Raw genomic sequence first — 22,468 nt, 5'->3', positions numbered from 1 at the left:
GCTGTAATCTTTAACCCTTGGCTTCATATTTCTAGGCTTTCATTTCATTTTCTTCAAGGCAAAAGTTTATTTGAGTGGCTCTTCAGGTTCTATTTAATTCTAAAATTGTGGAGAATATGTGAAAATACGTATTTTCTGAATGTCTTTATGCAAACATTATCACTTGAAAGTTTACCATTAGATGTGATAACTTCCAAATTGATTCTGATATAAAGCAAAAAGGACTCCCCAAAAACTCCAATTGAATATTACTTGAAGTATGATTTAACTCAGAATTCATTTGATTATAGGTTAATTCTTTCCTGGATATGTAGAATTAAAATGTAAGAGTGATTTTACCGGCTGACACAGGAATTTTACTAGAGAAAGCAAAACTAAATCCAGAATCAATATCCAAATCTGCTTATTATCTCTGGAGACATAAGAGTCATAGTCACATACTCTTCCTCCTTTAAGATTTATGTTGACATAAGACACAATTCTTTCAGTAGGCTTTCTTCAGGCGAAAGGAGACAAACCAAAGAAAACAACTTCAAGCACTTAGCACAAATTTAGTTTTACTTATTCTTTTCCCCAAAATTATTTTCTTTTCCAACACCAAGAAGACAAATGGTTTAAAACTTTTGCTCCATGTAACTTTTCTGGTAGGGCCAAGAGTGTGGTCTGAAAAAGCAATATGCATGGCCAATATAAAAGTGCAATCAGAAGAACACTAAGTATTTTAAATCAAGATGTGGGGCCTGGTGCGGTGGCTCATGCCTGTAATCCCAGCACTTTGGGAGGCCGAGGCGGGCGGATCACGAGCTCAGGAGATCGAGACCATCCTGGCTAATACAGTGAAACCCCGTCTGTACTAAAAAAAAAAAATACAGAAAATTAGCCAGGTGTGGTGGCAGGCACCTGTAGTCCCAGCTACGCGGGAGGCTGAAGCAGGAGAATGGAATGAACCCAGGAGGTGGAGCTTGCAGTGAGCCGAGTTAGCACCACTGCCCTCCGGCCTGGGCGAAAGAGCGAGACTCCATCACAAAAAAAAAAAAAAAAAAAAAAAAAAAAAAGATGTGCTAATGAGGATGGAATAGGGAGGATCCTTAAAAATTTTGAGGTTAAAAAAATAGAACATTTATTTTCTATTTCAATTATAAGCCCTTGTTAGAATTTGAAACACTTTTTTAAAATGGCCGTGATTTCGGCTAAATGGAATTACAACTTAAACGGGACAAACTAACAAGAGAAAGACATGATGAGAGAAGCACATAACTGCCATGAAAAGACACAACTTTACTACCAAATTAGCTTCATCTACTCCCTATTTGCCCCACTCCATTTGTAGAACTGCCTTTTCAGGACAGGAAGGTCCAGTTAGATGTCCTTTGGGTGTAAGAGAGTTGTCCTATACCATTAGGACTAGCCCTACCTCAGATTTATCCCATCCAAGTAAAATATTAAGTAGATGGTTTCTCTAATGCATGACAATGATGTGAAATTGTCACTATTTTGCAAGTGGAGCAAACTCACCCAATAAAGCAGTGGATAGCTGATGTATTTCTGTTAGCATGTCCATCATTAGCATTATTTCATTAAATAGTCACAAGCATACAGAAGGTATCATAAGAATTTATCAGTGGCTAATGCTGGAGACAATTCTGCCAGCAAAAGTCAGGAATATTTATGAAAGGACTTCGTAGTGATCAACTCTCCAACTGCAGAGGAAGAAGAATTCAGAATAGGTAAACAATTTTGAACATTAAAATAGCTATGACATTCTCCATTACCCTGATTAATTGTAAAATAAATATCTCTAAAATACTTCATAGATAATAGCATGGAGAAGGAAAAGTGGCAGCTAAAAAGCTCCTTCTCTCCTGAATCAATTTATCAGATCCTTCATTGTTTTTGTCTAATTCCCATGAAAACCAGAGACAGCCTATTCAACTTTTATCTAGAAGTTATGATCAGCATAATGTAAATATAAAAAATTAATGAATTTTTTTAACTGTAGCTTTGGTATTCTCAGATAGCAAACATTAAAATATCCTCTTCTGAAGTAATGGTACGCTGTAAGTAATAGTACTTACTTCTGAAGTAATAGTTCTCTGAATGAATTTATTGGGGCTTGTATTCACAAAACACTAGCTTTATGAGCAATGGCTGTTTTTATGAGTTTTCCTCAGAAGATTGGTAGTGTACTCCGAACACTACTAACTTCCTTTGACAGTACACCTTTTATAATTCATTACCAGTTAGTTTATATAAATCACCTTTTCATAAGGTGTGGTTAATCAACCTGGCAATAGGTATCATGAAACATAAAAGGATTCTGTGGTCAACTAAATGCTAAATTAAATAGGGTTAAATATGTGCCATTATTTTGGGATAGGACTTGTAAGAGTTCCCGTTGATGTTCAGGACCTAAATTTTAGAGCTGAAATACCTAGGTTAAAAGCCAACCTCCATTGCTTAGCGTTATATTACCTTGGGCAAGGTACTTATCATCTCTGCACCTCAGTTTCCTCATGTGTAAAGTTGGTGTAATAATGATACTGATTTCATAAGGTTGTTATGTGGATTACATAAATATATGTAGCACACTTAGAATGGGATCTGACATGGTAAACCCTGTAGGTGTTTGCTAATTTTACTAATATGCCTTGTAAATCTCCAAGACTAAAATTGGATTTTTTATTCCTCTGTTCAATCACTTATTTGTTTAATAAATATGGGAACAAAATATAGTCTTACTTATGCCTTGTACTCGTAATGGACAATTTAGAGTAAAAAATATAAGTCTAGAAATATTCAATCTTTTTTGTAGCACGCTTATCCCATCCTAACTCTAGTCAGAAGTGTTTGTTTTCAGAATCTGAATTCAAACCATTGGCCATGTTTTTCCCAGAACTTCCAGTCTCCTGATGACAGTCCTACAAAGACATGGAACAGCACTGAACTGACTCTAAGATGCTCTCTGCTTCATGATATTCAGATTTCCTCTCGGTGTCCATTGTGTGTTCAAACTGTTTTTTCTTCACGTCGTTTCAGGCAGGAAAAGTTCAGTTTGGTTATGTGTATGGCATGAGTGCCATTGGCTGCCTTGTGATTCATGCCTTGCTGAACCTGATGAGCTCTTCAGGGGTGTCGTACGGCTGTGTGGCCAGCGTGCTGGGTTACTGCCTGCTCCCCATGGTCATCCTGTCTGGTTGCGCCATGTTCTTTTCACTGCAGTAAGTGTCTGTGTGCTCTCAATGACCCCACATGCACAATCATAGCCAAGGTTTGCCACAGCCATGAAAAAGTTGAGCCCTTCCTGATTGTTTTGGTAGTGGAACTGGGAAAACCATGGCTATTAAAAGCTACTCATAGATTAAGAAAAGTAGGTTAGTTTTGGCCCAGGTGCTGTTCTTACTTCAATTACTTAAAAAATAAATTAATCCAAGTTATCTTTAAAACTGACACTTTTTGGCCAGGCGCAGTGGCTCATGCTTGTAATCCCAGCACTTTGGGAGGCCGAGGTGGGCGAATCACCTGAGGTCGGGAGTTCGAGACCAGCCTAACCAGCGTGGAGAAACCCCATCTCTACTAAAAATACAAAATTAGCCAGGCATGGTGGCGCAGGCCTGTAATCCCATCTACTCGGGAGGCTGAGGCAGGAGAATCGCTTGAACCCAGAGGCGGAGGTTGCAGTGAGCCGAGATCGCACCACTGCACTCCAGCCTGGGCAACAAGAGTGAAACTCCACCTCAAAATAAAAAAAAAAAAAAAAAGAGAGAGAGAAAAAAAAACTGGCACTTTTTAAGTTGTCAGATTTTTCAATGTGAACTATTGTCATGTGTAAAATAAGAACTACAGGAACTTCACTTGTTTGATTTTGGAAGAGTAAGTGCCTGGTGAACACTGATAAATTGCTTCAGCTTTCAGGCACTCTGCCTTCTGGGCTGAAAACAACTATTCTTTCTCAGCTGGGCTCTTTGCCACGTAGAATTCCCAGGAACCCTGATGAGGATATTAATGTTGGAGAACTTTATATCATACATGCTCAGTCAATATGTTTTTTTCTTTTTTCTTCCTTAATTTAGGCAATTAGTATGTGCAACTCAAGACCATTACTAAGAATACAGTACATTAAACAACTCTAGAAATTATCCCTAATAGGTTTTATTTAAATCAATAAATGTAGTACTTATTTGGTGTTTTAAAAATATGTTTGTTTTATTAATGGTCTGAGGCATTAGAAGCTATACTGTGGAGCTTTTCACTTGTTTTGCTTTGGTTCAATTATTAGAAGCAGATATTTCTATCATTTTCACAAATAATAAACATAATTCCCAACTTCAGTGTCAAACCAAGATCAAGTAAGGCAGTTTAGTTTGGTGGTGAAAAGAGTACTATGCTAGGAGAGATCTTGACCTATTGTCCACTTTGCCATGCAATTTTTATCATCACTTTATGCTTTAAAACTGGGCAGTAGACATCTCCTGAGATTTCTCCCAGCTCTTATGTCTTATTTTTCTAAATAATGCATTCTATTTAGCACATAAGAAAGGAAATTCACTCTCGACCACCCTTCCTGCCTTATTACTCTCCAAGTGACTAGACTTAACTATCTTATTTGCTCACTTGCCTCCACAGTTACTTTTTGAAGACACCGGTTGAACAAATCTATTTCAGCATTCTAAAAATATACAAAATGGAACTTCAAGGATGAGGTGGGAAGCCACACACATATGTGCTTTCCTGTCCCATGTGTTCCTTACTTGAGCTGTGTCAGGCTTTTTGTGACGTCCGACAAAAACCTGAAAAGTAGATCTGGAAGTAGTGGGAACTAGGCACCCCACTGGAATGTAACTCTGTCTATCTTTCTCCTACGCTGTTGGCCAATTTTTGAGGAAAGTAGGGAAAAGGAAATCTGTAGCTATAAGGAAGTGAAGGCTCTCAATGCTGTATTTAAGGGAATTTTAGGAGTTAGGATTTGAATATTGACAGATGAGAACAGAGTGACTGCAGGTGACTTCTACTGTTTTTTTCTAATTCAGGTTTAACAGAAATATAAAATATTTAGTCTCTGTAATGAATTTGACTAAAAAATGCCTAACTGGCCAAGGGCTTTTGTTCATATATTTTATCATTTTCATTTTACCACTCGGGAAAGTAGTTATAAATATTGTGCCAAGGATATTTCAGAGGCAACTTTAACTCAATAATCTCTTTTCTACTGGCACAGGCAATCATTTCTTTGTCTTTGCTGCAGGGGCATCTTTGGAATCATGTCATCCCTGGTCATCATTGGCTGGTGTAGTCTCTCAGCTTCCAAGATCTTCATTGCAGCCTTGCACATGGAAGGACAGCAGCTTCTTGTTGCCTACCCTTGTGCCATACTTTATGGACTTTTTGCCCTCCTAACAATTTTCTAAAGAATGTTTGAGATGGCATTTCAAGACTCTGTTTGCTGTCCAGATTATTTTGGAAATATATTAACATTCAAATTTGGTGATATGATTTCTGTTTTATTGCTTTTGAGAGAGTAATAAGCAGAGAGACAAAGCAGCACTTAAGGGTGGTGCTCTAATAGCCTGTTGGTTTGAATGATGTTTTGCTTTTGAGTTTGGTGCATTAAAACATTTCAAAATACTTAAAATCAAAAGGGATACAGTTGCTGTACTGATCAACCCTGCTTTTCTCAATAGAGGTATTTCTGAGAAAAGTAAGTAAATAAACTCATATGTTTACTAAAAGGAAATCTCTAGTAAGCCTTTTGAGAAACTTTCATGACAGCTCAAGCTGTGTGCATGTGGCTAAAAACTGCACTGTTCTGCACCTTTGGAGAGTTCAGGGGTATGTTATATAGGGTTTTATTTACCTAAAGAATCAAAGAAACTCTTGCCTTTCAATTCACTTCTTTAATAACTATTCTTCAGTCTCATTTATATAATGCATTGACTCACCACTTTTTCAGGCCCTCACTTCCTTCTTACTTGGTTTAGATGCCATGGTTCATTACTATAATTTCTTTCTTGCATGTATCCTCAGCAACCTTGCCATTTTCTCCCTAAGTAGGTGAATGTTAATAGAAGAAATCCCACTTACTTCATGTTTATTGTATTACCATGTCTTAAATGGCTCCTCAGTACTACCCTTGAATCCCACTACATTCTCTTAAATTTGCCTCCATGCTATCTGAGATGAATATATCCCACCAATTCTTCACTGCTGAAATCCCCAATACTCCTTCCTCATTTTCTACTGTTTGTTGATTCTTATTTTATTGCAAAACAGAAACATCTAGAAGAAAAGTGCTTGTCTTCTCACTTTCTTCCCTCTCAACATACATGCATCTTAACCCATATATACTCTTCTTTTCCTCTCATCTCTCTCTTCTCTCCACAGCCAGCCCCTCCACCTGCATAACCCATATTTTCTCATCACCTATCATTTATGTCAGCACGTGAACATGTTTCAATATCTCTTACCTTAAAATAAAACTCCTTTGATTTAACATCTTTCTCCAATTATGGCTCATTCTCTGCTCCTTTTTATTGCAAAAATTCTTGAAAGAGTTTTCTATTGTCTCTGCTTCTACTTTATCATCTCCCATTCTTGCTTTCCTACATTCCAGGCAATAATTTATCATCCTATTCACCAAGACCCCTTTGTCAAGTTAGCAACAATGCCCACATCTTGCAACATTCAATGGTCAATTCTCAGTTTCATTTTATTTGAACCCTGACAGGTATTTATTTGATTACCCAATCTCCATTAGCCACTATGCTGAAGCACTTCTTCACTTAAATTCTAGAGTGTCACATGTTCTTGAATTATTTTCCTACCTCACAAGTAGCTTCTTTTCAGTCTCCTTGGCTGATCTTTCTTCTTCTTCTCAGACTTAAATCTCTTCTCTAATTCTCCCCTGCTAGATGAGCTCATTTAATTGAATAACTTTAAAATCTAGTGACCCCCAAATTTCCATCTACATTCAATGCTCTTCCCTAAGCTCTTAACATATATACACAACTTATACTTAATATTTCTATTTGATCATTAATATGATATTCTCAATAATAGCATATCTGAAACCAAACCCTTGACTTCTATCCTGTCCTAGCTGTCCTTCTTCCATATTTTCTCATCTTTATAACAAGAACCACAAATCACTCACTGGTTCATTTGCAGAGTAGTCAGTCTTGATTACTCTGACTTTCACATCCAATATCTAGTCCATCAATTATTTTGACTATGTAATCAAAACATGTCCCAAACGTGACCGTGTGTCCTGGGCTCCTTCGTTGCCTGGGCTACTCTGAACCACCCTCTTCTGTTGCCTCACGGAAGCAATTTCCTAATGGCTTCCTGCTTCCACACTTTCTCCCCCACAAGCTTTTCCTCACACCGGTGTAATCCTTTGAAAATGAAAAGCAATTATGTCATCCCAAGGCCCTTTCATGGCTTTTATTCATATTTACAATAAAACTAAACCTCCTTTTTATAACTCAGAAGCTTCCTTTTCAGAGTGGTCCCCAGAATAACAGCATTAGCATCCCTTGGAAGCTTGTTAGGAATTCAGAATCTCAGGCCCTGGCCCAGACTTCCTGAATCAGAGTCTGAATTTTAAAAAGATTCCAGATGATTTACATGCACAGCTAAGTTTGAAAAGTGTGAGACAAGAAGGCCTTGCCTGCACGATCTCACTATGTCTTGCTTTTGTGACATCATCTCCTTCCATTCTCTCTCTTGGTCGCTGGTTTTATTGCTTCTTCTCAAACCACCAACTTTATCCACTTCAGGATCTTTATACAAATTCAGTCTACTTGCAACATTTTCCCCTCAGATCTTTCATATTATCAACGTCTCTGTTTATATGTTACCTCCTGAGAGAGGCCTTCACTGGCTTTTTTTTTTCAACAGTACATCCACCCAGATTTGCTCAGTCCACCCTCTGCAGTAGCTGTTACAATTATGTGAAATTATGTTATTTATTTGGATACTTGCTTTCTATCCTACCCCAACTCCGCAGAAAATAAACACTCTGAGGCCAAAGACCTTGTCTATATGCAACAGTTCATGATAAGGAATAGGAGATAAATATTTATTTATTCAATTAATGAATAAACAAACGAATGAGACTGTGATTGGGCATTGTTCACTATGGTGAATAAGATAGGTGATGGTTGCAGCCCTAATGGAAATACATTGGCAGTGGACAAAAATAAACAATATGCAATCAATTAATATGAGATAATTACAAAAGTATGAGAAGAATTCTAAGGTAGGAGTATGTTGAAAAGAAGGCAGGATTGTAGTAAACGTTAGACTGTTACGGTCTAATAACCCATTAATAGACATGTTAATTAGCACAGAATTTTCTTAAGTTCTTGGTCTTTCTATTTGGGCTGAGACAGTTCTACTGACATCCTTCATGGTGAAGCAAGAATTCCATTTATTGTAATGATTTCTCTATAAAATCACCCCTTTGCTTAGAAGTATACTTATATTATGGATCTTTTTTTTTTTTTTTTTTTTTTTTTTTTTTTTTTTTTTTTTTTGAGGCAGAGTCTCGCTCTGTCACTCAGGCTGGAGTGCAGTGGCGCGATCTCGGCTCACTGCAAGTTTCATCTCCTGGGTTCACGCCATTCTCCTGCCACAGCCTCCTGAGTAGCTGGGACTACAGGTGCCCGCCACCACGTCCGGCTAATTTTTTTGTATTTTTAGTAGAGACAGGGTTTCACCATGTTAGGCAGGATGGTCTCGATCTCCTGAAGTCCTGATCCGCCCGCCTTGGTCTCCCAAAGTGCTGGGATTACAGGCGTAAGCCACCGCGCCCGGCCTTATGGACCTAATTTTTTTTTCCTCTTTGGAAAGTGCTTTTACTTTTAAAAAGATAAAACTAAAAATTGCTCTAAATTCAGGATGTAAGTTGATGTTTTTCTATGTATAAAAACAGAGTCATACACAGAAAGGTTTGATATTCTTTACTATGAAAAATTATAGCCTCTATATTAAAAAATGGCATAAACTACTAAATATTTCCATAACAGTAAGAAATAAGAATACATTCTATTTAATAGTTCCTAATGACTGAGTTGTGAAATACCAAAGAATATATGTACAAAGAAATACAGATGATTTATATGAAAATAATTGCAAAACATTAGAGGTTTATTTTAAGGAGGTTTAAATTTACAGAAAGATAAACTATATCCCTGGATGAGAAGATTGGACTTCATAAGAGAATCTCCCCCAAATAAATGTGTATGTTTAATATAATCTCAGTTAAAATCCAAGAGGCATTTTTTTACAAAGTTGACAAATTGATTCTAAGGTTAATCTGAAAAATTAGGCAAATATATAACAGTGAAGAATTGGAAAAAAATCTAAAAATTTATTACAATTGTTAGTTAAGTAGATTATTGTTCGTCTCTGCAATTGAATGCTTGGTAACTAACAAATGTTTTGGAAGAATCATGACAAGAGAAAATGCATGCAGTAAGTTTTCACAATTTTGATATTTACTGAGGATTTACCATGAGTTGGCCTAGATGCTTTACATTTATTAACTCATGTTTAATCCTCACTGTAATTTTATGAAGTGCAATTATCATCACCTCCATTTAATAGGTGAGGCTACTGAGTTACAGAGAGGCTAAATCACTTGCCAAAGGTTACACAGCCAACGACTAGGATTTGAATAAAGGAAGTTTGATTCCAGAGCCCGTAATCACTACATAACACTGTCTGTAACTAAGCAGTAGTGTGTCTACTTTTCATTCTACTAGGGTTTATCCTTTCTTTTTCATCTTGGCCAATACTAGACAGGGCCAATGGGCTTTACCTACAAGGGAAAAATAATACTGTAATAAGATAGAAGAATCCAGAATGTCTAAGTGGATTATAGTGGTACCTGTATGACTCCTGGGTCCATGTATGAACTGTAATTTAAATGAATGATGCACATTTATATCTAGTTAGCATTTGCATAAAACATTTCACAAAATATTGTCTGTTCCAATTCCAACAGGTGTATACATTGTATGGATTTGAGTGGAATGAAGATATTTTCCTTTTAAATTTATTATATACTTTGTGAAATGTATCTGCAGTCATTAAAATCTGTTACAGAACAAATGAGAAAGTAAAAGAAAACACATTTGGGGTGCACAACAAGAAATATATCTTTTTTTTCCTTTATCTGAGGATGTAACATTTTCCATTTTTCTGTCTTTACTGGTTGGATGAAAGTTACAGATTATTGCTAAGGGTAAATGGCACATTTAGTGGCAAGAGATGGCCTTCATTTCAACAGGAATGATTGGGGACATGGTCTGAAAATAAAAGTCCTGAATTACTCAGACTCAAGTGCCCCAGTTCACAACAGTTTAACTAGGGCAGTGGCCTTTGTCACATTTGATGACAGATGCTTTTCTACTCTGCTCTGACTCCAAGTGAGGGATGCCAACTGTAAACCCACATTGACAAGCTTCTGCTCCTCTTATTCTCAGAGCATTGTAGGTTCTATTCTGTTTCTCCTACACAGTCAAGAGGCTATAGCTTTCCAAATAGATTTTCATATTTGAGTAAAAGTATGGAATAATTTTTTTAAATTTAAAAAGCCAACCAGTCTGTGTCACAGAGAATCCTTGATGATGGTGACCAAATACATATTTTCAGAAAAAAAATGATTTTTTTGCGTGAAGGTAGGATTCATGGGCTTTTATGCTGCTGATTAGACATGCAGAATGGTGAAAATATCTTGAACAGAGACTTTGACATAGAAGAAAAGAAGGAAAGAAGTAAAGCAGGAAGGAAGGAGAAATCACTCAGTCCTAGGTTATCATCCCAGCACTGCCTGCAAACAATTTGCTGTATTTGAGACCATTACGTAGATTTTTGAATTTCATTTTCTTTACATGGAAAATGAAGTGAGTAATGTAGAGTTTGCAAGGGCCTTGTGAGGACTAAACAAGATGCTGCATATAAATTACCTAGCCCAGAGCCCTGCATATAGTAATTACTCAGTAAGTGGAAACTTGCCACAGCTGTAATAGATCCTCAGGGATAAGATTTTAGGAAAGTCTATTTGCTTTTCCATACTATCATGAATACAATTATGGGTAAAATATGATGACCTTAACTGACATACAGACTTAATGGAAAACAATTATTTTGGCATGGTGGTGCAACTGGTGAGGGAGATCATGTCAAGGTCAGCTAAACTTTTTGTTAAGTATTACTAGAAATATTAACACAATTTTATGAATTTGAGAGAAGGTCGTTTGTTGGAGTTTCATTATTTGGCTGCCAGGCATTTGAATATTTTATATTGAAGGCATTTTCCATATCCTAAAGCAGGCAGTTATTCCCTCTCTCTGATCTCTGGCAGCTAGTGGCATATGAAATAGGATCAGCCAATTTGATCCTTTTGTTCAGCACCTGGAATCCTGATAAAATGATACAAGGGCAGAGGAGCAGTTAGAAATATTCACGGAAGCTGAAGGGCAGATTCTAGGAGTGGTAATAACTATGCATATGTAGTTGGGTCCACATCTGTAGAACGAATTGAACTTCAAGACTTGGGCTGTATTCTCTACCCAGTCTCTCTTGGATGGTGCACTTTTAGCAAGCTCTGTCCTCTTTCCTTATGGTTGATTCTATGATCTAGCCTATATCCTTCTTATAAATCCTATCTCTTTTTATATTAACTATAGCCAACTTCTGTTGTTTGCATACAAGAACTCCTAAAGTGTTGGTAGACTAATTAACATTTCCTCTCTTGGCATCACCAAACTTTTGGAGGGCATATTAGGTTATCATAATAGAGAAGATTGAAATACATGTTATTCTTTACATTATCTGAGAAGACACAACTATTATATTGTATGTAGCACTCACAAGCAGAACATTTAGCACCTAGACTGTCACTGTAGAGGTATTTTTATCACACAGAACAACATAAACATGACACTTGAAACCGACTGTAATTTGGGGAGAGATTTTTAGTAACTAGAGTATAATTTCCATACTCTGGGAATTAAGAACTTGTACATTATTTGTCCCAGCTGCAAATCTTGTGAGACAGATTGAAGATGGTATTTGCTGGTGTATAATGTGGTTCAGAGATGAGCCTTGCTAGAAGGAAAGCAGCATGTGAGGAAGAACATGTTGACTATTTCACTGAGGCAGAATCCAGGGCAAGAGCAGCAGGAATGACAGTGAATACCAGCCAATGGCAGAGCAGTCCAAGGGGCTCCCACTGACCCAGTGACAGGGCACATAGATCCTCAGTTGCTGCCTGTTACCAGTGGAATCATCATCTACAGGTGCTGCAATCTGTCTTGCATTTTAAAATGTGAACACTGGGGAATTCATCCCAATTTAATAAAAAGCGTGGGATTTGTAGATAAACAACCATTCTGAACTTCCCTCAAAGGGGTCATTTATTGAACCAATAGGGGTGAGAGAAGCCAGTACAACAAGTATAATCAAGGTTGTTCTTGTGTCAAAGGCATATTCGAGGAACTCTTACAGAATGCTTTCAAATTTCTGGGATTTGCTTAGAATGCGATTTTTAAGAGAGACCCCAATGTGCCATTTCGTTTCTGTGTTTAATATTCTTTATTTGCCAAGGGAGTTTGTTGGAGGGAGTCTAAAAAAACTTATAGAATGAGCAAGCATATTTTTATTCCTAGCATTATTTTTGTCAACACTGACTACAAAAGCATTTATTTCCTATCTATTTGGATATGACCCTGAGCTTGTCCCTCTGCAACAAGTCATAGAGCCTGATCTAATGCTTCGCATACCTATAACCTTTACCCTATGTATCTGCCCTGGATCATCACTGCTATCAAGAAGCATTGCTTAATTAAAATGATAAATCAGAAATGTAAATAACTCTTCCCTGATGAATCATATGCATTAATGTTAATCTTAGAAATCAACTTCTAGCAAGATTTCCCAAGTTAAATTCCTTTCATCAAAATTCCTTTTTTAAAAACCTCTCATCATTCATAAACTTGGATAAAATAAATCCTTTAAATAGCCATTAGTATTGGCTTAAACATTATATTTTCATGGATTATTATGTTTAAATAATGAGAAGTTCTATTTACTAATCTTTGCTTTCAGTCGCAACTTGAACTAATCTTGAGAAAATTCCTCTTAACTTGAGCAGAATGAACTCATCCAGAATATTTTAAAATGTCTTCAGAACCATCCTGGTTCCAGCACACAGCTTTATAAGGCTTCAGAATTAGTAGCCCTTTGGTTGTGAAAAACTCCTAAGTGACCCAGAGCTGCCAAAACGAGGCTTCTGCCTCATTTTTGGGTGTGCATATAATCCTCTGGGTCAGTGGTGTTTTTTTCAGATTCTTCCACTCTGACTTTCTACTTTTTTTTCTTTCCATGGGTAGAAGGAGAAAAAAATATTATGTATGTATATAATAGGTTTGAAGGAAGGAGCTAAAGAACTAATATATAATAGGCACCTATTACTTCAGTGCTTTACATAAAATGTCTCATTTCATCATCAGAAAAAGCAGTGAGACATTATTTTAAAGAAGAATCTAAACGAAGAGAATATGATGCCCTTTTTCTATGTTCCTATGGCATCCTGTGTCTACCCCTATTGGAGGTATTATAACACTGTATTGAAAAATCTACTTATTTGTCTACATCATCCATGCAGTTTAAGTGTCTTGAGTATACTGTATTCTATCAGCTTGCTGGGACATCCATAACAAAGTACCACAGACTGGGTGCCTTCAACAATGGAAACTTACTGTCTCACAAGTCTAGAGGATAGAAGTCTAAAATCAAGGTGTCAGCAGGTTTGCTTTCTTCTATAGCCTCTCTATTTGGCTTGCGGATGGCCCCCTTCTTGCAATGCATAATGTCTGCCCATATGACTTCATTTTACTTTATTTACCTCTTTATTTTATTTTATTATTATTATTTTTTGAGACAGAGTCTTGCTCTAGCCAAGCCTGGAGTGCAGCAGCATGATCTCAGCTCACTGCAACCTCCACCTCCTAGGTTCAAGCAATTCTTGTTCCTCAGCCTCCCAAGTAGCTGGGATTACAGGCACCTGCCACCGTGCCCGGTTAATTTTTGTATTTTTAGTAGAGATGGGGTTTCACCATATTTGCCAGGCTGGTCTTGAACTCCTGACCTCAAGTGATCCACCTGCTTCAACCACCCTAAAGTGCTGGGATTACAGGCGTAAGCCACAATTATCCTGTTTAAAGGCCCTGTCTCCAAATGAAGTCACATTCTCAGTTACTGAGGGTTAGAATTTCAACGTATAAATTTCGGGGTGCAGGGAACACAAGCAAGCCTATAGCACTGTCCATATTGAATCACTTTTATATCTTCGCCATCAAGCATAGAAAAGGGTGTATATTGGACACTCAGTGAAAAAAGGCTGATGCCAAAAGTAGTGCTTATTTCTATCATATGACCTTTTCATTCAAGTCATTTTCTAATCTCTTTCTCAATCTGCTACAGCTTCTTTCCCATACCCCTTATAACTTTCTGTACTTCTCATAGCATCTCTCAAGGAAAAATGGCCACTGCCATCAATTCCTTTCCTCTCTGTACACATGGCCCTCTCCCCCTCTTGAATCTCAGCTGCTTGTACCTAATTTGACTAAGAGAATAGTTGAAAATGACATTGTGAAACTTCTGAGTCCAAACTTTAGGAAGACTGGCTGCTTCTGCTTCCTGGATTTTGAAGTCTTGAACTACTTTCTAAGAAGTTCAGGCTCCTCTGCTGAAATGAGACTCCACATAGAGGAGCGGCAAACTGAGGTGCTGGAAACATCAGTGAAGAAGACATCTTGGACAGATAATATCTACCTTGAGAAAATAATACTGATAGGAACTATGATCAGAATTACTATCTCCCCTTGAACCCTCTCCCTTGACAACACAACTACTTCTAGGCCCTTTTGACTTCACTGAAGCCCCTGCTTCCATTTTACTACCTTGAGGATGGATAGATTATCATAACGATAGAGAATTATTTCACACTAGCCCAGTGTATACAGTAGGCAGTGAGGGCAGTCTTGTCTTCTGTCCTTTCCCAAGATGCTAGCTGGCTCAGTTGTAAGGGAACTCCAAGTCTCTAAACAATTTAATAAAATTAATGCATTTTTGGGACAACTTTTGCACTTCTAACAAAAAAACCAATTTCATATAATTTGAAATCTATTCACTGGAGCAACCATCCACAGAATGGTTCTCAACTATTCTTGAACCTGAAATGTCTGTTCAGAAGCAATTGCTACTGTCAACATTTCTTGTATGATTTTAATGAGAAAAAAAATTAAAAGCAGATTCTCCATTCGGCCAGTCATTAATCACTGCAATGATAGGTGGGAAGTAAATTAACTGATACTATAACCTCTTCTCCTTCAGAAGCTAAGTAATCATAAAGGTACCACAGGAAAATTGGTTACATCTGAACACATTTCTAAAGAAGTGATGATAATTAAAAATGTTAAAAATCAAAGTTTTAAACATTTATTTTAAACGTAAGACATCCTGAGAACTTCAAGTGTAGAGACAGTGCTGCAATTCTCATCTCTTCATGTCACTTCCTGTGTGCTGCTCAGGCCAGGCCACCTCCTGCTCCAGGGCACCCCTCTGCATCCATTGAAGACTTAGGATCCTTATTGTGTTCTGCTCTTTCCTCAAATGTTGGAGTCATCCCAAAGGACCTGCAGATCCATGTAGACTGTATGTCCTGCATCATGTCTTCCAAGCATCTCCATGACTGCAGCTTTCGATACCCCAGCTACCCTCTGGACTTTTCTGTTTCCTAGAATTGCTTCAAGAAAAATCGCATTAGGATTCTCAGTCCCTCAGTTCCTTCATTTTACTTCAGTGTTCCTCTCCCATCCTAACACATATAATTTTTGTTTCTATCCAGGGCAGATAACATGGTGTCACACTCTCAACTCCCTAAGACTTTTGCCCTTCTGCCAACTTGTTTTGCTAAACGTCACACAGCTTAAATTGAAACAAACTCTTGGTTTCCTAATTCCCCGCTTGGTCTGATGGTTGCTGCTGGACAACTGTTGAATCACGCAACCTATACAGATGAGTTTGATTTCATATTTGTAAACCAAAATATCAAATGAATTTTCAAAGCAACTCAATAAGTAAAATGTATTTATTATAGAACTCATAAAAGCAGACAAGCAAACAAAAACAGTGTGGAGAAAAAAAGGCACCCACAATACCATCACACAGAAAAATGGTGACCAACTTTTTGGTGCTTTTCTTCCCAATCTTATTTTTATGCATATAACAGGAATAATGTTCATGTTATCTTATAAAATACCCCTTAATATTATAAAATGCACTTAGGTAATGTCACAGAATTGATTTTCAGTGTCTAATTTTTCATGGCTCCATATTATTCCTCTTCTTAGAAGAAACATTCTATTATTCATCTTTAACTTTCCCTTACTGGTGGTTATTTAGATTATTACTGATCAGCAACTCTAACTTTTTATTTAGAATGCGTTTCTAAAGATAGAATTAGGGAGCAAAAGAAAATAACAGTTTAAGGTTCTTGATGCACTTTGACAAATCAATTTTGAAAAAAGTGAGAACAATAGATTCCAACGACAGTGGAACAACTGTCTTGTCCTGTACTTGGCACGCTGAGTAGCTTATATAACCAAATGTGAGACCATACATGATCAGTGACCAAAGTAGCTCTGATAGCACTTAAAATTCTTCAAGTGAGTAAAAATCAGATATATGTGTGTTTCATCTCTGTGATTACTAGTAAGATTAAGTTTTTCATTTTATAAGTTTCTTAACATCAATTATTTTTGTGAATTACCTGTTCACAGTTTTAAAGGAATCATTTGAACTATTCCTGACCATCTCATTTCCAATTCCACAACTTTCAAGTTTGCTTCCTATATTTTAGGTGGTATTTAGTCTGTCTGGCAAAAATATTCCCTCTTCTTTATTCCCATGCACTGTCTTTTGTACTGTGCTGGTTTATTTATGAGCAACTCAGATTTATTTTCCCATTTTTTGCCTGTTACTTTATATCACATGAGCTAGAACCCTGGGGATTATATTTACTTAAATTCCACTAGCTGGATTTCAGGTAAAATTTCAATACAACTTTTATGCAATATGTGGTAGGCCAAAAAGAAGCAGAAACCATCATTCCTCATAAGCAGCAGTGGCCACACATATCGGCTTTGGCCGAAGGCAAATGTGAGGTTTTTCCACCTTCTGGTGTTTTCTTGCCTGCCTTCCAGTTTGGTGCTACAGGCAGCTGAGATTATCACTGGCATTTTTCTACAATACCCATATAATTAAACTCTTGAATGCTAGCAGTTTCCCTGTAAGGGGTCCAGCTCAACTCCCAAATTCTATGTGTGATCTTTCAGTCTAAACCACAGGCAAGGGTGGAGAGGCCTCCTAGGGGGAATTTTCCCTCCCACACCAGACTTGTTGCATTGCCAGTCTATTGTAGTTTTCTGGAGGGAACTGCAGTCAAGGAATCAGGCTCCCCAGGACTAGCCGTGATCTTTCATGGAGGCACTTTTATTAGGCCCAAGGGGTCTTCATCACTTCCCAGGCACCTCCTCCCAGACCTTAGTAGAGGACTTGCCTAAGGCACTTCTCTCCGTTTTGACTCCATAACTTCCAGCTCCTATTTCTTCCCCTATGACTCCCCAATAGGTTTTCCTTGCCTGCTGCCCAGATAAAGCCAATTTATCAAGGCAGGGGAATTGTAATAGAGAAAGGGTTTGATTCACACAGAGCCCACTGAATGACAGACCAGGGTTTTATTACTCAAATAAGTCTCCCTGAAAACTTGGAGACTGGAGTTTTTAAAGGCTAATTTGGTGGGTAGAGGACAGGGAGTAGGGAATGCTGATTGGTTGAGTCAGAGATGAAATCATAGGAGGTCAAAGTGTGTTCTTGCTGTCTTCTGTTTCTGGGTTGGATCACAGAACTGATTAAGCCAGATTGCCAATCTGTGTGGCACCAGATGGTGTATCAGAATGCAGGGTCTGAAAAATATTTCAAGCATCAATCTTAGGTTTTACAATAGTGATGTTATTCCTAGGAGCAACTGGGGAGGTTCAGAACCTTGTGGTCTGTGGCTTTATGACTCCTAAGCCATAATTTTTAATCTTATGGCTAATTTGTGTTACAAAGGCAGCCTGGACCCCAGACAAGAAAGGGGTTTGTTTCAGAAGAGAGCTGTTATCATCTTTGTTTCAAAGTTAAACTATAAACTAAATTCTTCCGAAAGTTAGTTGGCCTATGCCCAGTAATGAACAAGGACAGCTTGGGAGCTTAGAAGCTAGACGCGGTCTGTTAGTTCAGATCTCTTTCACTGTCATAATTTTTGGAGTCCCTCCGTTTGACTCACAAATCCATAAAGAGGCAGAAGCATTTTGTTTGGGACTCCTCAGTAGTGATATCATGCCCACCATCTGGGCTGCATCCACCTGGTTCTTGCCCAGTTGAATTTCTAGAGGAAAAGTGGAACACTGAGTAGCAAGTGTCTGCTTATGCTCAACCCTGTGATCCTTGTTTCACTGGGCTCTAATATGCTGAGTTAAATCTCTTTCCATATCAAATATCTAGAGATGTTTCTTTTGTTCTGATAGAAACTTTACTGAATCTATTACTTTTAATGGCAAAAACCACAATTACTTTTGCACCAACCTAATAGTATTTCTTCTTTTTCATCCACTTTACAGGGAGAAATGTTGCATTTCCTCCTCAAGGTTAATAATTCATTCTCTCAGTCATTAATTTATTTAAACATGTTTACTGCACATCTGGTACTATGTAATAATCACTGGCACTCTTGTTAGTTCCTAAGAATACAAGATGAAGACGATCTGGTCTATGACTTCAAGGAGTTCTTGTCTCATTCAGGAGAGATAAACAGACACATCATTACAATTCACAAGTTAACACAGGGAGCTATTGGGAAGCAGAGGAAGGTTACCCAATCCAGTCAATGGTTAAGTATTTACAGAGAAGTTGATATTGTGACACAGAAAAAAATCATACCATGAAAACGTGTTGAATAATGCTGAATAGAGATGGTAGCTTGCCAGAGGATGTGAAGCTGAGGAGAAGAAGAAGGAGAAAAGAGGGGAAATGTAATACAGCCAGAAGAGAGTGGAGATCTTCAGCCAAGAAAAAGAAATGACAAGCACTACGTGTGCAAAAACTGTGGGCAGTTCTGTGTTGCTTGACTATAAAATATCAAATAGAGGAGGGAGAGATGACCATGGAAATGAGGTGGTGGCCGAAGAGTTTGGGCTTAATCATGAAGGTAATCGGAAGTTATTGGAGGATTTTATCCGAGAAGCTGTCAACTAAAAAAAATAAATTTCTTGAGCAATTTTAATTAAGAAGATCTTCATCATTATTAAGATTTGCTGTAACACAATGCTGAGAAAACCAAGAATTCTTACAGGCTTCCAGGCAACTTCCCATGAAGAAGAAGGATGTTTAGGCATGGGAGATGATGTAAATAGGACTAGCAGGAAAAGGCTTTGGCTTCAGACTCTTTGGTTATCAAATAATCTAACGAATTAAAATAGTAATGCCATACTATTTCACCTCTACAACTAGCATAGATAAAAATGTTAATCCTTATGAGGGTACGATGAAGTAGACACGCAGTAACTATTGCAAGCTTCTGTGGAAATCAATTTAATGATATGCTCTGAGAGCTTCAAAATGCTCATACCTTTTGACCCTTTAATTCCACTCTTGTGGATTATGAATGCAGACAATGATTATCACTACCGAGTGGAAAATAAAACAGCAATAACTTATGTTGCTGTAAAGAATAAATGAGATAATGCTTGAAAAGTGCCTGTACTACTGCCAGGACACAGATGAGTTCAGGGAGTGCAAGGAGTCACTCTTCGTTTGCATCTTGATTTTTAAAGTGCTTATGCATTAAATAAATAGTGAGCAAACCACAGTATGTATTGACTGCCCACTGTGCACTAGTCTCCATGCCAATTGCTGAGCCTATAATAGTAAATATGGTAGGCTTTGTTCTTACCCTTATGATATTTACAGTCTAATGGCAAAAACAGGCTCCAAGTAAATAATTTGTACAAAATATTACATATGTGTGTCTGCATATACACACAGAGATGATTAAGGAAATGAACATGGTGTTATGAGAGAAAAACAGGAGAGATTAAATTTAGAGAGGAAGGTGCAGAGCAGCACTTGCTGAAAGTAGGGACCTTGTTACACACTAAATTGTGTTCTCCCAAATTCATATGTTGAAACCTTAACCCCCAGTGTCACTGTATTTGGAGATAAGGAGGTAATTAAGGTTAAATGAGGCCAGAAGGGTGGGTGGTACTGTAATCCAATTGGACCATTCTTTAAAAGAGGAAGAGACATGAGAACCCTCTGTCTCCTGGAGGATGCACACGGTGAAAAGGCCAGCCGAGGGCACAGTGAGAAGGAGCGGTCTAGAAGCTGAACAGAGAGGCCTCACCAGAAACCAAACCTACTGGTACCTTGATCTTTCACTTGACTTTGAGGAAATAAACTTCTGTTTTTGAAGCCACACAGTCTGTGGTATTTTTTATGGAAGCCCCAGAAAACTGAAGGATGGGAGGAGATGGCTATATGCAGAAGGGCATTTCCAGGGAGAGAGAACAACAGACACAGCCCTGGATGCTGAAAGGATCTTGGTGTGTTTGGACAGCTGAAAGAAAAGCAGTATGCCTAGAATCTTATGTATCCATTATGAATATTTCTGAAACATCTTTGGGAAATGAGGCCACGATGTCATCACTAGCTACAGCAATAAATAGATTTCGCTTCTGAGGACCTGAGTTTTGGTTCAAAAGAGTACAATGTAATGGAGATAGAAAGAAGAGGCCAATGTTCTACAGGCTAGAAGAGTGTGAGGCACTGGTAACCACTAAGTGATTTCAACCTTTGTATATTACAGATGTCAAAACCAAAACTCAGAAACACTAGACGTGTTAACAGGGATTAAAGAAAAAAACGACATACTAGCTAATGTTAGACATGTTTAAGAACCCAAGTCTCTTATATTCCTTACAAGTGCCTTAAGCAAGCCCATTAAACTAAACCAAATTCCCTCTCTCAAACTGATGTCTCATAATTGAGCACCAAACCTGGATTTCTAGAAAAATGATCTGCATGGGGTCTGAATAATTCTAAGGAAAACAGAAACTGCAAGCTAAAAGAATTAGCTATAAATTATCTTGAATGTATTTGCCTCTATATTCTTAGCAGTATTGACCAAGCCCTGTTTGAAGGTTCCAGGACTGCAGGTTTATGAAGTAGATTGCTGGTAAGTGTTTAACAACCAGCTCTCTAGGGGCAGAGGACTGCCCTGAATCTATAGACGGAAAGTTTGCATCACTTCAGATTTCGTATGTTGAAATCCTAATTCTCCATGTGATGATATTAGGAGCTGGGGCCTTTGGGAGGTTATTAAGTCATGAGGGCAGAGCTGTCATGAATGGGATTCATGCCCTTGTGAAAGAGAGAGCTCCCTTGTGCCTTTTGCCATGTGAAGGCACAAAGAGAAGATATCCATAAGTAAGGAATCAGGCTATCACCAGACACCACATCTTCTGGCCACTTGATTTTGGACTTCCCAGCATCCAGAATCTAGCAAATACAATTCTGTTGTTTGTAAGCTATGCAGTCTATGGTAGTTTGTTACAGCACCCTGAACAGTCTGATATTGTTCAGTCTCTAGCATCAGGGTTCCTCTCTGCCTTCAGAGAGGTAGTTCTTAAACATTTAACAGCAAACCACTTCATTTTTGGCTGCTTGATTTTCTGGTCTGTAGCATTTGAATATTTCTGTGGGGTTAATATGCTCATTAGGATTGATTTGGTTGATTTCAATGTGATACCACTGAAGCAGAGTTGGAAACAGATGCTCAGTAGTAGCATACCATTATATAGCACTTTCACTGTAACCATTAGTTCTCACAAGCCTGGATGACCCAGCCCCAATTACACTATTGTCAATAAAAGTGTGACTCTAGTGCTTGCATGTCTAAAAACTCTGGTATATTTTCTCTTCACCACTGGGCATTAAAACTAGTGCAACTCATACAACTTGCCAGATGTATGTAAAAACCAGGACAAATGGTACTTTTTTGATGTTCCATCTCTTCAACTTTGTAGCACAATGTAAGTTTCTCTCTGCCTGGTAGATAGGCAAATGCTGGATCTGTTTAGAAAGACATTGCCTTCCTTTGCGAATTTCTGTGTCTTCCAAAAGTAGATTAGAAAGTGGGTTAAAGCTGGGCATGATGACTCATGCCTGTAGCCCCAGTACTTTGAGAGGCCTAGACGAGAGGATCACTTGAGGTCAGGAGTTTGAGACCAGCCTGACCAACATGGTGAAACCTCCTCTCTACTAAAAATACAAAAATTAGCCGGGTGTGGCGGCACATGCC

At 38.0% G+C, this 22,468-nt stretch overlaps 1 protein-coding gene across 3 annotated transcripts in view; it reads left to right on the top strand.

Moving 5' to 3' along the window:
• Positions 1-5,731, top strand: part of YIPF7 (Yip1 domain family member 7) — a 40,112-nt gene extending 34,381 nt beyond the window's left edge. For all 3 annotated transcript variants that reach the window (XM_047450094.1, NM_182592.3, XM_011513679.3), the window contains 2 exons: positions 3,037-3,218; positions 5,243-5,731. In XM_047450094.1, the coding sequence (XP_047306050.1) occupies positions 3,037-3,218; positions 5,243-5,405 (345 nt within the window). In that variant the 3' untranslated portion in view covers positions 5,406-5,731. The remainder of the gene's footprint in view (positions 1-3,036; positions 3,219-5,242) is intronic.
• The last annotated feature ends 16,737 nt before the right edge of the window (positions 5,732-22,468 follow it).

The sequence above is a fragment of the Homo sapiens genome, chromosome 4 (genome assembly GCF_000001405.40).
Source record: "Homo sapiens chromosome 4, GRCh38.p14 Primary Assembly".
Lineage (NCBI taxonomy): Eukaryota > Metazoa > Chordata > Mammalia > Primates > Hominidae > Homo > Homo sapiens.
The sequence above is the reverse complement of the archived record's forward strand: the minus strand, read 5'-3'. Positions and strand labels throughout refer to the sequence as shown.